Here is a 17,099-nt window from a genome sequence, read left to right as displayed (position 1 = left end):
TTCAGTGTTTCCTTCTGACTTTAATAATCTCACCAACATCCTTATTTCACAAATCCTAGGCAATAGCCCGCTTCTTCCCTACACCATGCAGGGTTAAACGCTGACACAGAGGAGCAATATACTGACATCATTAAAAGCCTAGGTTTCTGAAGAAAGGTCTGGTTTGAATTCTAACTCTGTTCTTACTAGCTGCATGACCTCAGCAAGTGACAAAAGTTCTCTGATACTTTCCTCTGCTTTAAAATGTAGAAAAAAAATAGTTATCTCATGAGATCATTAAGATGATTAAATGAGAAAAATTAATGTAGGACATATAGCATAGTGGATAAGCACTAGCAGGTATGGAATAAACAGAGGCTTAAGATCAGCGTTTGAACACAATACACATTTCTGCCAACCTCTACTGCATACAAATGCACACATATACAGTATGGCAAATGAAAAATCAACGTCCCATACTCACCAGAAAAACTGAAATATCGGTACTTCATTTTTAAAAACACCTATCTCTGTCTCACGGTCAAGGAGAAGAATTACTTTGTATTCTGAGACTTAGCAAGATATGGGCAACACATAATCACGAGTATATGGTGGCAAGAATATAATAAATTTCACAGGGATCTGGAAAATGAGGATTTGTGGAGGAACAATACTGGCTGTAAGAAATACCCACAGTTGTAGCTTCTTAATATTATGCTGCCTGGGATCCCTAAACCATACAAGACAGGACAAACTACACAATAATACACTTCACTCAAAGTAGAATTTAGGAACACAAGAGGTGATTGAGAAGAAAATGGTGTTCACGAGTGATGGTAGGTGAAGATCACCCCTGGCCTTCTTTAACAAATTCCGGAAGATGACAGGAATGGTAGGAAATACTCCCACAATCAGATTGGTGGTAGTCCCATGAACCAAAAAAGGAATGTACCATCGCCTGAGCAGTAAGATAAAACTCACATTTCCTTCTGTGGACAAAACAAAGAGAGACAGCTGAGAATTCCACCCCAGCCGCCAGATGCTCTGTATATCACATGGGGTCAACAGTTAATCCAGACACAGAGCTTTGTGAAGGGCTCCAAAGACACCAGAGCCAATAGCTCTTTCCTGGTTTAAAAAGGGTAACAAACAAACACATTTCTGGGAGTACAGGTGACATTCTCTATACTTAAAGATAAATACCCTAAGTTACAGCCCCCACATAAAAGGATCCAAAAGGAAATAAGCAGAATCTCTGGGGGGGAAATGTGTCTGAATGAGGAAAAAGTACTAAAGATGTGCATCACCAACCGATCAATCAATAAATTCGTGTATCCTCCAGAAAAATGTAATTTCTACCTCCGTGCTGATATAAATAAATGTTCCCAATGTTGTACTTGAAGGGAGCTATTTATAGATTTCTGAATTATAGATTCAGTGGGCTGACTTCACGAATCTAGCTAATAGTCTCATCTCAGGTGACAGAATTTCCAAAGAGAGCAATGAAAATGTTACAATCAACATACTAGAACTTTAAAATATAAATCTTCCTGTCTCAAACCTAATTCATAGGTTTGTCAGACCAATAAAATGAGATTTGTGTAGTAAGAAGCAAACACAGAGTGTTCCAAGTAAATACCCACACACCACACGGAAGCACTAGGCTACAGTGGTTGAAATCCGGTTTTTCACCTAGTATCAGTTCCAGGTTTTCACTAGGAGAGCACCTCTTAGAGGCTCTACCCAAAGATCAAAGCAAAGTGACACATTGTCCCAGATCACAAAATCCCCCTGTGTGGTTTCATTTATTGGCTGATGAACTACAGTAACCTTCCCTTTGGGGTCATAAATCCTAACCAAAAAGAAAACTCTCATCTTTGGCAAATCAGACATTTATAATCATCCATGTATGAGGCAACACCCTTTCCCAAAGAACAGCTTTAATTCTACTTGGAAACAATAAAAAACACTAGCATTATGATGCACAAAGTACTGTGATAGAAGCTGAAGTAAAAATGAGAGCAATAAAATAATAATTCAAATACAAAGCCCCTACCCTCAAGGAACATAATAAACGGAAAAGGCATGCATACAAATGTGCATCTGAAGTGCTCAAGCTCTTATTACAAAGTCTGCACAGAGTAGCCGGGGCATAGGAGTAGGAGTGATGGATCCACAGGAGGATGAAAGCTCAGGAGGGGCTCCACAGAGACAAGTGGCAGGAAATGAATCCTGAAAGATAAGTGTTTTTCTTTATGCATGTGTTAGGGATTGGCAGGGCTCGGGGGTGCAGTTCAGAGAGAGGAAGAGATGCCGTTAACAGTTTCACATGGCTGAAGGCTAGCTTACATAGAGTTGGAATTGGTTTACCTGAAGTACCAATGACTCAGCACGGGATCCATGGCTAGGGATTTTTAAACTCCAAATGCTGACATCAGAATACTGCTTTCATTTATGCTGTCCAAAAATCAGTCTCAGCAGCCCGTCTACAACCTCATTTCAAAACCTACTGCTCTTACCAATTCCATCTGCATCATAATCTGCGCTGCTGCTACTACTGCAAAGCATATGGGGCTTTAATTATCTACAATCATACAAGGAATAATTCGTGAAAAATTCTAAGTGACATAAAAATATCATGAAAAAAATGTGAAGTGCTAATTCCCTTAATTATCCACTGAAAATCACTGCTATCTCTTACAAAGAGATACCCAACCCTGTATTTGATAGTACACACCTTGATATTATTCTGAGTCAATAACGCAGTGATAATTTACTCAGGAAGCTAGCCTTTAAAAAAGAAAAGCCATAGATCTGTCCTTCTGAAATAATATCTTACTTAATATATACACTTTCCCATGCATCTTTACAGGCAACCACTGCTGATGGGTTACACAGTCAGCCGTGTTGAAAAATGTAAATGTACCCATACAGTTCCAATTTAATTCATAGGAGGCTTTTCAAAACTATCCTCTTTGTTCATTTGGTTTATATGCTTAAACTTTGGAGTGCATCAGAATCATGTGAAGGGCTTATTTTAAAGTGACTTTTTGGGCCCCACCCTCTGGCATTTAGGTCTGAGATGGGGCGTAAACACCTGCATTTCTACCAAGTTCCTAGTGGTGCTCATGCCTGTGGCTGCTGGTTGCGGACCTCACACCAAGAGCCAGCGCCCTAGAGAAGTCCAGATGGCAGTCATTCCAGGTCACCCCACATACCAATTACCACTGAGAGTAAGCAAGTTTTATAGGATGTATGTCTTACATTTGAAAAAGAGATGGTAAATAGAGTTCAGTGCCAAAGACAACCTCTAAATGTAGATGTGATGTAAGCATCAAGCTTCAATAGTATCAACCTGGGGAGCTGATAGTGAAACCATCCTCACGTGCAGAGATGAAATGGGAAGAGCAAAAGTTTTTAGTTTGAATTACCGCTTCACCTCTTCCTAGCTATGTTCGTTCATCTATAAAATGGATCTCACATGGGTGAGGAGATAAAGTAAGTTACCTTACAAGGAAGGTGTTCAGTAAAAGGTAGTTGCTACCTAAGCTAACAAGGGAAAGAGCTCTCAGCGCAAGTATTTATGCAGAAGATGCAAGACGAAGCCACACAATGTAACTTTACATGCACTATGTCAAAATAACGGGGGTACGTCTCTTTTTAAAACCACCTATATCTAAAGTTTTATCTATGATCTCGCTCAATGTGATATATATATATATATATATATATATATCTCACTTCATTTAATCCTTACTACCACACATTGTTGTAAAAAACATGACTGTTCTCCCTCAGGCTTCCAAGGCAGCTCCTCCTCCAAACTGTTTGCTCATTGATGCTACACCATTCTCCCTCTGTCCCTCACACTAAAACCCTCAGTGGCCATTCTGTGGCTCCTTGAGGTTTTCAGTCATTCTACCAGACAAAATCCATATGTTCTTCCTGCGGAACAGCTTCATCATCCCCAGATCTCATTCTGTGTGCTGTAACGGTGAAGTGATAGGCCTACCTACTTGACAGCCCCTCACTGCTCTCCTTCTACTCTTTATTTTGGGTATGACTTTCATCATGCTACTATTTGCCTGGTCAAAAGATCTCCAGTTGCTCTTCACACTGTTATCCTGTGTAAAACCCCATACTTCCTTTATCAGTGCTGACCAACAGAATTTTCTGCAATGATGGAAATATTTTCTATCTGCAATCAGTATGGTAGCCACTAGCTATGTGTAGCAACTGAGCACTATTTGATGAAGTGAATTTTTAATTTTATTTCACTTTAATTAAACAGTCACATGTGGCTAATGACTACATTACTAAACAGAGCAGCTATATATAATCTCATCTCCAGGTATCCTTCAATGTGAACTGCCCACCCTGGTCAAGCAAAGTCTCTCCCCACAACTGATAACACTCTTCCATGCCTTACTCCAAAGACTGTGCTTCCTCCTCTCACTCTGCTCTTCCCAGTCTCCACAGCCTATCTATCCAGGCTGGTAGAGCCCCCACCTTTTCTGAAAGCTTCCCAATTACATCTGCCAATATTCCATTCCTCTCTCCCTGCCATGAACAATCACTGTTTGCACAGCTCGTCTAGCAGCACTCCAACAGGTATTCCTTGCACTGTAATTTATCTACGCATGCATCTGAGCCCCTTCCTCCCCAGTGAAAGAATCTATTCCTCTAAGATCAAATGTCCCATTCACCTAATAGGTGCTTCACAAATACTTGTTTTAAATGAATTAAAGGTACAGAGTGATATATTTTAATCTTTCTTGGACAGCAAGACTCCTCTTCACTAGTACCAAATGGAAATTTTAATCCCCTCACTGTTATGTGATAGCTTGGCAAACACCCAGTTATTGAAAAAGTATCCTGTAAAAAGGCTCTGAAAAGTCTTTGACCTTTGTACCTTTGTCTGTTCTAAAAATGCCAAGGAAAAATGAGAAAATACTACTTACAAATGAAAAGCCCATTAACTTCAAATTCAAAGCAAGTTTCTGGAAACTGATTAAAAAGTCCAACAGAAAGAAACTGAAATTCCTGCTCTGTAAAACCATCAAAAGCTAGACGGAGGAACCCTTGATTTCCTTATTCTTCTGGCAGGTCTCAGATCTGGCTGGACAAGGCCACCAGCCCACAGATGCTGGAGCAGACCTATCAGAAATGTATTGTTAAGGCAAAGGCAGGTAATCCATTTAAGAGATCAGGAGGCTGATAAGGCTCTTTGTATAAGCAAAATGTATCCTAACAGCCAAGTGAGAAGCACAGCCAGGTTATTTCAGAGCCTGCTGTGGAAATGCATTTCCTAGGAAGAACGATAAAACTGTGCCATTACCAAATTAGTCTTCCCTATAAGGAGGCAACTGAGAACACTAAGCTGAGGTAACCTAATTTCTGTGGCCCTTCAAAAATTTGATTATTTATGCAAACTACACTTGTTCAGGAATAAATTTTTTTAACTGATAAAAATTTTAAAACCTCCTCCTCCTAATCACAGTATCTCCGTTTGCATGCTCGTCTTCTGAGGTCTGTTTTAATTAGCATAAACAGAGAAGCAAGTTAATCTACGCGCAAAGTCCAAGTCTTCACGGAGGCTGAAAATGTAAGTCTGGAGTAAACAGGAACCCAATGTGGTGGTAGAAAATCACTCTGATAAGCTTTTCTCGAGATCTAAATGCAAGTCCAGTGGATACGCTCTTCTGATTTCCCTTCTTTAAATGGGCTTTTGAGGGAAAAAAGGAGGTGGGGGTGCTTTGTAGCCACTCACAGGATGCGAACCCTACCATCCACCCTGGCTGTAAAGTGGATACAATAACCAAACCCTATATGTCTATTGTCATGATTAAATCAGGTAATGTGTATTAAGTGCTGGCCATGTTTCCTTGCCAAGAGTAGGTTCTCAACCAATAATAGCACCCTAACTTTTCCTTGGGAAAACAGAACAATATCATAAGGAACGGTCCCTATTCTAATAGAAACAGTTTAAAATCACTGGAGATTTTGTTTTGCACATTTTAAATAAAGAAAGGCATCTAGTGCCAGATAATTCTTTCTTATGGTGCTCTTCTATTATCAGGATGTTTTGCCTCCTCCCAGAAGCAGTTACATGCAAAAACATTTGGTACTGAGAGAAAACAAGAGAGGAAGGACGACATAATCAACCAGATCTGTTGGGGTTCTGGAAATTTGTTTTATAATTGGAATGGCTCTTCCCCTTGAAAATCTAATAAGTGTGGGTTTTATCCCAAACATATGGCAGGTAATGATTATTATCCCATATATTACCTTCGAGCATGCCTTGGAAAAAATTGAAATCTCACATCTGAGTAACTCACTGGCTTTAAAAAGTGTTTAATTTGCAGGGGCAAAAATATGCTGTTTGGCTTTCCTGAGGGAGACACAGAGATGTGTTCAATAGACCATAAATCTTAAGAGACACAAAAAAGCAAGTTTATAACTGAAGAATCTGAGATATGCACCCCAAATTTCTCCTCTTGAAATGTGTTCTTATAGTCGTTTTAGTTAGTGAATTATCAGCATCGAATACAAGCCATCTGAGTCAGTGTTCTGTAGAGCCAGCCACTCTGGAGTTACAGCTGCACAGATCATTAACCACAAGGGTCCAATGCCCACCGAAACATGTTGGAAACCAGTAAAGAACATTATTCTAACACAGAAAAAGCATCAAAGAACCATGGGAACTGAGCTTTACAAGAGAAAGCCTTACTGTTCCAGGGCCTTGGTCTTACTCTCACTGATCCAGAGCTAATGTGTAACCATCCTCTTGAGGAATCTCTAAGTATAAAGATGAAATAGCTGAGCATATACTTTATTGAGATGGCTATTACTGACTTTCCTATATCAAAAGTCACAAAACACATTTTATCTTGACTACTTCCTTCACTATAGAGGAATTTCAAATAATAACTGTAAACTATTTTCCAATGTACCTATAATCCATAAAGACAGTATAATCCTCACCTGTTCACTCCACCAAGAAAGGAGCACAATGCTATCTTTTTGAATATTCCTCTCTTCTTCATCTTCCAATTGCTACATTTTTTTCTCTTACTTAGCCCATTTGTTCTGAATCTTATACTATAACTTCTCTGCGCATGTACTTTGAGTATTAAATTCAAACCAATTAGGGACCTGCCTCCTGTACACCAGATAAGCTAATTATTTGCAGATTCTGCTACCTGTTCAGACCTCTCGTAACCTGCTGTGAAACTGCAGGCAACTTCCCTCAATCTCTCTCTGTAGTTCAATATCCTCACTCTTCCGGAAGACTGGGCTCAACCACTCCTAACATACAATGATTCCTATGACTCATCAAATTCGTCACCAGTCCTGACCTCTCCCATAAAGTCCATTCCTACATGTAGAACTGAGTGTGGGACATTCACTTGGGTGTAGTAAAATGATGAGAGGACAGAGGAAGTGACTTTCTCTGGCATATCAAGTATGGGATTCATCCACGTCGCCTAATTCTTGACAGCTATTATTTCCTTGTACCTTGCAGAGCTTCAGGCCTGGCCTAGACAGATCTCTTCCAGACTAAGCCTGGGGCCTGACATAAGGGGCATCCAAAGACCCTTTCCTCCTCCTTCATCAGAAGTCTAAAACTCTTGTTTCCTTTTCAGCTGTTAGTCTGAGGGAGGATTTATTTACTGTTTCTGGAGTCTAGTTGCTAGGTTGCTAGATCCAGTAGGGCTTAGAGTGTGGGAGTGGTGATAGATAGAGCCCATTAACTTTGATACCTTAGTTAAGGTGGTATTGAATCTCCATAATTTATCTGTTCCAGAGGAATTGGGCATATAAGAGATGGTATGAGTAGTTGTTCACTTTCCCCCTCTAAAGTTGTTTCTGGTTTGGAGGTATCTTTTGCATATTGGATTTTCCTAAAATGGGGTACCCTTGTTCTGCGCAAGGTGTACCCTTGAATATAGGTGAAAGGGCTAATGTCAACAGAGAGCTCATTTTGAGTGATAAATTGCCTGAGGTTTAAGGGGGCATTGTCTCTGCCTTTGTGGATACACATGGTTATTTAAGAAATGTAATACATTTTTTAATACCAACCTTTCCTTCATGTGCTTGGCTTTTTCTTTTATCATCTGACAGCATCCCTCGTCCCTTACCCCGTCTAGGACAAGACTATGCTTTGTATCTTGACAGTGAGGAGAGCTCTAGAGACAAAGGGGGCATGTACTATGTTCATAAAAAATAGAAGCAGTCACATGGCTTGCTATAAACAAATGGCTCAGATTATAACTCCCAAAAGAACTAAGATAATTCAGGACTGGAGAGATATAGGCACTATTTCTAGTACGCTTCTTCAACTAGGTAAGATATTATCTCACAGAATGCATCTCTGTAATAAAACTATCAAACACACTCAGCTGTACTTCACAGGGATGCTGTAAGGATTTCCTTACAGTTTCAAAGGTTCCACATGCACCATAAAGACAAGGTTATCACCTTCATTTCCCTGTTGGCCACACCTTCAGTAACAAAGGTGACATCACTAGCTACTCAGGGCCTATGCTAGGCAGATTAATGAATGAAACCTGGGAAACAAATGAGCAATTTTAAGAAAAGTAGCTCTGTCAAAATGAAGTGAATTTCATTAAAATTTTAGTAGTCTTATCTAAACTGTAGTTCATTCACTCACTCAATGAATGTTTACTAAGTGCCTACTATGTTCCATATTAAAAATGGTCATTATAGCTCAGCTGAGTATTACATTTCTTAAATAACCATGTGTATCCACAAAGGCAGAGACAACGCCCCCTTAAACCTCAGGCAATTTATCACTCAAAATGAGCTCTCTGTTGACATTAGCCCTTTCGCCTATATTCAAGGGTACACCTTGCGCAGAACAAGGGTACCCCATTTTAGGAAAATCCAATATGCAAAAGATACCTCCAAACCAGAAACAACTTTAGAGGGGGAAAGTGAACAACTACTCATACCATCTCTTATATGCCCAATTCCTCTGGAACAGATAAATTATGTAGATTCAATACCACCTTAACTAAGGTATCAAAGTTAACACTTCCAATAATTGGAAAAGAATACATCATGTGTCCTCCTAATGTGATACTCCAAGAACATCACTCATGTAGTCCATTGCCAAAATCATGACAAAACATGCTACAAAATAAAATTAAGAGACTAAAGAGATATAATGTGTTTAAATCCTGGATTGAAAAAGGAAAAGGGTGCTATAATGGACATTATTGGGAAAATTAGAGAAATGTGAATATAGACTTACATCATGTAAGAGTATTACATCAATGTTACAATTCCTGTTTTTTGTTAATTATACTGTGGTTATGAAGCAGAATGTCTTCATTCTTAGGAAATATATGCTGAAATATTTAAGGGGAACAGAGTATACTGTTTGCAACTTTCAAATGACTAAAATAAATAAAAATATGTAATACAGAGAATAAGCAAATGTGACTAAATTTAACAAGAGTTGATAGAGGTGAAGTTATTGTATTCTTCTTGTAACTTCTCTGTACATTTAAAGTTTTGTTTTGTTTTTTGAGATGGGGTCTCGCTCTGTAGCCCAGGCTATAGTGCAGTGGTATGTTCATAGCTCACTGCAGGCTTGAACTCGTGGGCTCAAGCGATCCTCCTGCCTTGGCCTCCCAAGGTACTAGGATTACAGGCATGAGCCACTGTGCTTGGCCTTGGAGTTATTTCAAATAAAACCCATTAAATCTTTTAAAACATGAAATGGAAGAGTAAACTTGGGTTACCTATTCTTTAAAAGGATTTTATTTCTGCAAGTCTCTATAATATTAAGTGCTATGACATGTTTGCATCTTATGGAACAGTTGTGGACTTGGTATTTGTAATAAGACATCTTGGTATATAGAAGAATGAAAATGAATTTCAGAGTAACCATTTCTGGGTAAAGCCCCACTTCTGCCATTCACTAGATGAACCGTCTTAACCTTATGTTTCCTTATGTATGACGAAAGTAACGATGCAGCTTTCTCTGCTCTGGGACTGGTAACACTGCTGTGAGCACTGCATGCATTAACGTAAGGCATGCAAATGTGCTTTCTTAACTATGAGGTACTATGCAAACATGAGCTCTTGTTTTTAAGGAGCTGTCAACTAGAAAGGTTACAGGTGATGCAAATGAATTACACAACTGCAGGTAAAGTACCCACAGAAAACTAGAGAATGAAAGGACTACTATTAAATCATATTATACACCACTTATTCAGGTTCACAAATGGAGTAACAGTACCAAGTTTTGAAAATAGTTTTTTTCCTCCCAAAAAGCAATCCAGCCATGAAACAATATAAAAACAAAGAAGTATTCTTTATTACACTGTCCTCTCATAAGAGCCAAATCTGCTAAAATATATATATTATATATAAAATATATAATATATATAATATATAATATATAATAAATATATATAAATATATACATATTCCTCAATTCAAGAACATCCATTTATATCTAAATGTGGATCTTAATGACAACTAGAAAGGACTAAAACTATTTTTTCCTCAAAAGGGTAGTCCAAAATATGTATGTTTAAACTATCTAAGAATCCCATCTGCCCAGGGTCAGCAGATCCACATTAGGATAAATCCCAGTATCCCTAAGAGGTCTGACTTGACCTCAAGCCAGAAGGAGCTCTAATGTTTTCTGAGTACACACAGGGATAGGAGCTGTAGTAGGGTTCAGATGTGAGGGAAGGTAGGCCCAGGGAGATTATCCAGTGGTCTGTTAAATCCTACAAGATCCAGCTTCTTCCTCATCTCCTCCCTAAATCTCCAACCTCATGCAGAAGAGATTGGACCCCTTCCCCTTGCACTCATTAAGCCCCAGCCACTGTTCTGTTCCTCAAACATATTAAGTTACTACTTCTCATTTTAGAGTTTCTGCATTTGTTCCCTTGGGCTAGAACACTTCTAGGAGCTTCACATGCTGGCTCCTTCAGGTCTCAGCCTAAATGACATGCCCCTCAAAGGCCTTCCCTGACCACCCAAGATAAAACAGCCCCTGGTCAGGCACAATCACATCGCCATTTCATTTATTTTCATAGAACTTTTCTTCCTGATATGTTATCTTGCTGTCTTCCTTCTTCTCACTACAATGCAAGTACCAGGAGAGCAGGGACCTTCTGTTTTGTTCATGGCTAAATCTCCAGCATCCAGAACAGGTCTTGGCACAAAGAAGGCACCTGAATAAAAGAATAAATTGCCCAGCTCCAGCCCAAAGTTTACTTCCAATCCTGATGTATAAGTGAAATTAAGAAACACCAGGAACAAAATGTTTAAGGCTAAAATGCAACCCAGGTTTCTGGAACTCCTTTCTTGACTCACTTTGTCTTCTACACCACAGTCCACTATACTAATTCCATCCACTCTTTTAGCTTCTCAAAGAGCTCATCTATTCTTACAGTCACATGGTGTCAAAAGAATCAATTTCTTAGAGAAGACTCAAACGATTTCACTTCAAAACCAACTTCCTTGCTCTGTAGTTTCAAGCACACACCTCCACCTATGAACAGGATACCCATGTGACTTTATTTAACATGTGTAAAGAACAAGATCATCATCTCCTTCTTCTCTATACCCAATGATGGCATCAGCTGTCACTCACACTCAAGTTCTCAATCAACTGTCATTCATGGTTCTCTTTCACTCCCTATAGTCTAATAAAGCATTTGGCCCTGCTGTTTCTTTTGAAATATTTCTTGCATCTGCCACTGCCTCTCCATCTTTCCTCTCTCTAAACAATCCAGGCCCTCATACCAAGAAGGATACTACTAAGCTACTCAGAGTTTTTAGCACTACCACTAAATGGAACTGAAAATGCAATTCTTATGAATTCATCTGGCAATAATCATTACTTTTGTGGCGACTGTGAGAAAAACCCGACTTAGTGATGTAACTAGCTTGCCTAACATAAAGGTTGTACTCATGCAATCAGAGCTAACAGACAGGAAAACCAAGGCATAGCCATATTGAGCTACTGGTCTCCAAAGTTTCAGGCCAGGGTCCTGCACATTTTATGGTGAACATTTCATTGAAAATAATTCATTAAAAGAGCTTAATTGAAACATCCAACAGTACTGCCACCTGTACACTTTGGAACCTTCCTTACATTTTTAACTATTGCAACGTATTCTGGACACATCTTTATTCAAAGTCTGATTAAAATATTTATTTGGAGTCCAGCCTATTTGTCTTAACTGACAGATAAAAGTTCTTCTCCGGGTACAGTGTTTTTCCTTATTTAGCAGCAATATTCTCCCTTCTAATGATGATACTCACCCCTGGCAGATCCCAAATATGATCTAAATGAAAATCTTCACAGTCTTTGTTCTCTTGCTTATTTCTTTGTCCAGGTGCAGAGAACTTCCCCCACCACCCTGCTCAATGAGCCATCATAAAACAGCTACTTTTCCTCACCAAAACAGCATAAATCCCTGCAACTTGACTCAGTTCACTGAGAATCCAATACACTGTTACTCTCCTTTTAAAAAGGAGATAACATATTGCCCCATTAAGTATTACTGTTGATGGACATACTTGAATCCTGAAGTTTAAAGAAGTATTCTTCAGTAGAGCCTGCTCAAGTCAATTAAACACAAACATATACAAAGCACTTAGTGTATTAACTATGTTACTCAGAACTGAGCTGTGCTTCCCTAACAGAATGAAACTTTTTAAAGCTTAACAAGGTTTACAGTGGTTTCTATGACTTAAGTCCAGAAAACAAAGGTTCAATTCACAATTTACCACCAATTAGCTGTGCCATCTTATCACAACATCTTCAGACCTCGTTTCCTCATGTCTAAAAGGGAGAGGTTGAAGCATATATTAGCTAAAGTATTTACTAACTCTAAAGTTCTCAGGCTCCATGATGGCAAGATCAGAGAGTTTCTAACTGACCTAACTGCATTTATCCTTTCCTTCCCAAGTATCCTTTATCACTAATTTTCTCAAACTACTACTCTATTAGTTTTCTACTGCTGTTACAAAAAATTATCACAAACTCAGTGGCTTAAGACAACATAAATTTATTATCATATATCATTTCTGGAAGTCAGAAGTCCAAAATGACTTTCACTTGTTTAAAAATCAAGGTGCCAGCAGGGCTGTGTTCCTTCTAGAGTCTCTATGTGGAGAAAGTGTTCTTTTGCTATTTCCAGCTTCTAGAGCTGCATTCCGTAGCTCATGGGCTCCTTCCTCCATGTTCTAAGCCAGCAGTGTAGCATCTTCAAATCTCTGACCACTGACTCTCCTGATACTCCCTCTCACTCATGAGAACTCCTGTAATTACAACGGGAAGCTCAGATATTTCAGAATAAGCTCCCATCTTAAGATCCTCAACTTAATCAAGTATGAAAAGTTCTTTTTGCCATGTAAGGTAAATATTCACAGGTTCTAGGGATTAAGAAGTGAATAAATTTGGGGAAGCCATCCTTCTGTATAACACAACTACTTATTTACAACTGTTCCCTAACCAAAAACCTTTAATACTCAAAACCAGACAAAGACATCACAAGAAAGCTATAGAACATATCTCTATGTATAGACACAAGAGTCCTCAAAATACTTTCAAAACAAATCCAACAACATATAAAAAAGATTGTGCAGCATTATCAAATGATACTTACCTCAGAAATGCCAGGTTGCCTTAACATTAAAAATTCAACCAAGGTAGCCTGGCAACACAGCAAGACCTTATCTCTAAAAATTAAAACAGGCCAGGCAGGATGGCTCATACTGTAATCCCAGCACTTTGGGAGGCCGAGGTGGAAGGATCACTTGAGCCCAACCTGGGCAGCATAGTCAGATCTCGTCTCTACAAAAAATAAATACAAATAGCTGGGCATGGGTGCACATGCCTGTGGTTCCAGCTACTCAGGAGGCTGAGGTGGGAAGAGCATTTGAGCCTGGGAGATCGCAGCTACAGTGAGTCATGGTCGCGCCACTGCACTCCAGCCTGGGTGACAGAGCAAGACCTTGTCTCAATAAATACATAAATAAATAGCCAGGCATGATGGCGCACACCTGTAGTCCTAGCTACTCAGGAGGCTGAGGTGGGATGATCCCTTGATCCCAGGAGTTCCACGATGCTGTGAGCTATGATCATGTCACTGCACTCCAGGCTGGGTGACAGAGCAAGACCTTGTCTCAATAAATACATAAATAAATAGCCAGGCATGGTGGCGCACATCTGTAGTCCTAGCTACTCAGGAGGTTGAGGTGGGATGATCCCTTGATCCCAGGAGTTCCACGATGCTGTGAGCTATGATCATGTCACTGCACTCCAGCCTGGGTGACAGAGCAAGGCCCCATCTCCATAAATAAATAAAAACTATTTAATTGAGTCAATGTAATATATCACATTAATGAAAGGAAAAAAACCTACATGGCCATCTCAACACAGAAAGATCACCTGACAAAATCCAACATGTTTTCATCATAAAAATAGTCAAACTAGGAATAGAAGGGAATGTCCTCATTTAACAAAAGATTCCTGTGAAAAACCCACACCTAACAACATCATACTTACTGGTGAAAGCTTGGATGCTTTCTCTTTAAGATCAGGAAAAGACAAGGATGTTTGCGCTCACCACTTCTATTCAATGTTGTACCAGACATGCTTCTCAGGGCAATTAGGCAAGAAAAAGAAATAAAACGCATCCAGATTGGAAAGGAAGAAAACGATCTCTGATCACTTGATCCTGTACAGAGAAAATCCTAAGGCATCCACTTAAAAACTGTGGCCAAACAAGTTAGATTATAGTTTGTAACTCATCTCTGACACAAGGCTATAGTTTCAGGGATCAGTACACAAAAATCAACAGTATTTCTATATATAAGCAATGAACAATCAAAAACTGAACAATTGGCCAGGTGCTGTGGCTCACGCCTGTAATCCCAGCACTTTGGGAGCTGGGTGGATCACGAGGTGAGGAGTTCGAGACCACCCTGGCAAACATGGTAAAACCCTGTCTCTACTAAAAATACAAAAAATTAGCCAGGAGTGGTGGCAGGCACCTATAGTCCCAGCTACTTGGGAGGCTGAGGCAGGAGACTGGCGTGAACCTGGGAGGCGGAGCTCGCAGTGAGCCAAGATCGCGCCACTGCACTCCAGCCTGGGCAACAGAGCCAGACTCCATCCAAAAAAAAAAAAAAAAAAGAACTGAACAATTAAGATAACAAAATTAACAATACCATCAAAATGAATAAAACCATAAGCAACAAATTTCAAGGAAGTACCAAGTTTATACAGTGAAAACTACCAAACACTGTTGAAAGAAATCAAAAACAACCTAAATGAAAGGAATCGACTTCAGAGTCCAGAAAAAATTCCTCACACTTCTGATCAATTTCAACAAGGATGCCCAAGACAATTCAATGGGAGAAAGAACAGTCTTTTCAACAAATGGTGCTGGAACAACTGGAGATCCACATGCAAAAGAAAAAAGTTGGACTCTTCCCTTACAAAATACACAAAAATGAACTCTCACATTACATACCTAAATGTAAGAGCTAACTAAACCTATACAATTCCTAGATGAAAACATAGGAATAAATCTCTGTGACTTTAGGTTATGCAAAGAATTCTTCTTAGATATGATGCCAAAAAAAAAAGCAACAACAAAACATTATCAAAACTGAAAATTTTTGTGCTTGAAAGGATAGCATCAAGAAAGTGAAATGACAACCCACTGAATGAGGGAAGTCCCTCACTTTAGGGAGATGAGTCCTAAAGAAAACAGTACTCTTGCCAATGACATAGTGCCACCTAGTGGCAACATAAGGTAAATCACAGTGGCAGTAGGAGGATCTCCACACTACTTTTACAGGAATGCACTGCAGGTAAAAAATAAGAAGCTACAGTACTGTTTGGCAGGACAATTTGTTTCATACATGCATACTATTACCCTGACTAAATTAACTCTCAAGTCTTACAGGTATTATTTGTTTTCATTTCCATGCACAGATTAGCCATTTAGTATTTACTAAATCAAACTCAATTTCTGAAGTGTCTTACACCAATATATTCATGGACATATGGTTAAAATTTTCCTTGAGGATCTATCATGTGAGAGTGTGGCTTATTATAACAAGTAAGCAGAACAGATAAACACAAAATAATAAGAAATCTCATGATTTACTCACATATAAGGGAGCTTGCTGTGGATTAAGTTTCATGACCCAGGACACTGAAACAGAAATGGAATAAATGAGAATAAAATTAAAAGTTGTCACCGAAAATATATAAGCCACCTAAAGTCCTAGGTGTCAAGCATAGCTCTGTGAGTACAATCCCGTGCCCGAGATTACCATATGCCCAGCTGTATGCTATACACTAAGAGATTTAGGAAGGAAGCGGGGTCAGGAATTGATCCCAGACTCAATCTTTTCAAGTGGGGAAGAAAGATCTTCCGATTGAAAAATAAAGACAAAAGGCTTCACTGTCACAGAAGTTTCAACAACCAACAGGATATTTAAAACAGTTATCAAAGCAAAACCATTGTATGTTCACTTACATTTTTACGTAGTCCCTCAAACTCACAAAATGCTGTTTACTCAGGGACTTCTTGCAGTCTTACTAGGGAGCCTGGAAAGTGAGGGGAGGATTGCAAGGGACCACTAGAACTCTCTTCCTCAATTCCCCTTCTCTGAGAAGGGAGGCTACAGCTTGCCTCTCTAACCACTAAAAGGCATGACCCTCCTCAAAGTTAATAGCTGGATTCCCTGATTGTTATGTTCACTAAATGAATTCTCATAAAAATCTCATTAAGATTTAGAGAAGGCTTCCAGGGTTGAATTCCTGAACATTAAGAATAGCATGTTCTTAAAAGTTTAACTTGGTGATTGGACCAGGACTTCATCTAGGCTATAAATGCTCAGAAGGGTAGGTCCTTTACCAAACACCCTGAGTTTGAGTATAAAGTGATCTCAATCTCTTAAGAGTCAGAGAAACAGAACCAAGTGACTTTACTATAATTTGATCTGAGGAAGTTTCTTACTCACAATAGGTAAATGAAGGCACATACTAACCAGCAAAATAACAGTATAAAGTGTCATTCATACATGCAAAAACACAGACAAAA

At 39.2% G+C, this 17,099-nt stretch overlaps 1 protein-coding gene across 2 annotated transcripts in view; it reads right to left on the bottom strand.

The window, feature by feature from the left end:
• Positions 1-17,099, bottom strand: part of AKAP13 (A-kinase anchoring protein 13) — a 368,756-nt gene that overhangs the window by 247,444 nt on the left and 104,213 nt on the right. For both annotated transcript variants that reach the window (NM_007200.5, NM_006738.6), the window contains exon 2: positions 16,162-16,205. In NM_007200.5, the coding sequence (NP_009131.2) occupies positions 16,162-16,194 (33 nt within the window). In that variant the 5' untranslated portion in view covers positions 16,195-16,205. The remainder of the gene's footprint in view (positions 1-16,161; positions 16,206-17,099) is intronic.

This window comes from Homo sapiens, chromosome 15 (genome assembly GCF_000001405.40).
Source record: "Homo sapiens chromosome 15, GRCh38.p14 Primary Assembly".
Classification (NCBI taxonomy): domain Eukaryota; kingdom Metazoa; phylum Chordata; class Mammalia; order Primates; family Hominidae; genus Homo; species Homo sapiens.
This window is presented reverse-complemented; position numbering and strand designations above follow the sequence as displayed.